This window comes from Homo sapiens, chromosome 2 (genome assembly GCF_000001405.40).
Source record: "Homo sapiens chromosome 2, GRCh38.p14 Primary Assembly".
NCBI classification, from domain to species: domain Eukaryota; kingdom Metazoa; phylum Chordata; class Mammalia; order Primates; family Hominidae; genus Homo; species Homo sapiens.
Window position 1 is genome coordinate 223,018,818 of NC_000002.12, and position 1,114 is coordinate 223,019,931.

At 44.8% G+C, this 1,114-nt stretch overlaps 1 annotated feature.

The window, feature by feature from the left end:
• Positions 574-868: a silencer, noted in NCBI's record as "tiled region #15139; HepG2 Repressive non-DNase unmatched - State 21:Repr". NCBI's record gives its function as "represses a minimal TATA promoter and a strong SV40 promoter by Sharpr-MPRA in HepG2 cells {active_cell/tissue: HepG2}" and the evidence as "EXISTENCE:reporter gene assay evidence [ECO:0000049][PMID:27701403]".

The following is a 1,114-nucleotide window of genomic DNA, read 5'->3' on the forward strand; positions in this document are numbered from 1 at the left end:
GCTCTGTACCTTCACCCTCTTCTCTGGAGCCCATTAGAATGGGAGTCATCCTCTCTTCATTCTGGCAGGACACATGAATTCGCTGGACTCTTGTCTTCCTTTGAATCTCTTCATCAGGCCTCACTTATTTCTAACCTGCTAATGGGAGAAGAGGCAATTGTCAGTCCAGTAGAGAAAAGCTCTGTGTTAGTCCATTTTCATGCTGCTATGAAGAAATACTCGAGTTTGAGTAATTTATAAAGAAAAACAGGTTTAATGGACTCACAGTTCCACATGGTTGGGGAGGCCTCACAATCATGGCAGAAGGTGAAGGAGGAGCAAAGGCACATCTTACATGGCAGCAGGCAAGACAGTGTGTTTGGGGAACTGCCCTTTATAAAACCATCAAATCTTGTGAGACTTACTCACTATCATGAGAACAGTACGGGAAAACCCACCCCCCTGATTCAATTACTTCCCACTGGGTCCCTCCCATGACATGTGGGGATTATGGGAGGTACACTTCAAGATGAGATTGGTTGGGGACACAGCCAAACCATATCACTGACCAAACCTAAGGTAATGGACAGCACTGTAAGAGTACATTGATTAAAAAGACACAGAGGTAGAGAAACTTGTAATTGTTTTGCCTCCTGATTCATTCATATCTTACACTCTGTGCTTCCAAAAGTTCCTTTATGATCTTTCCCTTTTCCCACAGATTTCTGGCACATCTGAATGAGTTCCCGTTAGTCCAAGTGTAAGCAGATAAGGACTGGGATTTTATTTCCTCCAGTGATCTCACTGCAAGCTGCTCAGCTTTGACACAGCAAAGGGTAACAGACAGGCTATCTCTCTCCAGTAAAGCCAGAGTGACAGGGAAGTGCAGTCCTGGTTCACAAGGTGGCCCTGAGAGCTCTGCCTGAGTCCTGTGAGAAGAAGCTGGGCAATGTTGCAAATGTCACAGAAGCTTTGTGTAGCTTTCTCTTGAAGGGCCAACGTAGAAGACAGAACGCACAAATAATGAAACAGTGGATGAATCTTGTCTTTTTTGAGACCACTTTCCTGTGCCAACTTCCATTTATTTCCTTTCCAAATGGTGGCCCTGTGCAATGATCTGTTCCTCACCAAGAGT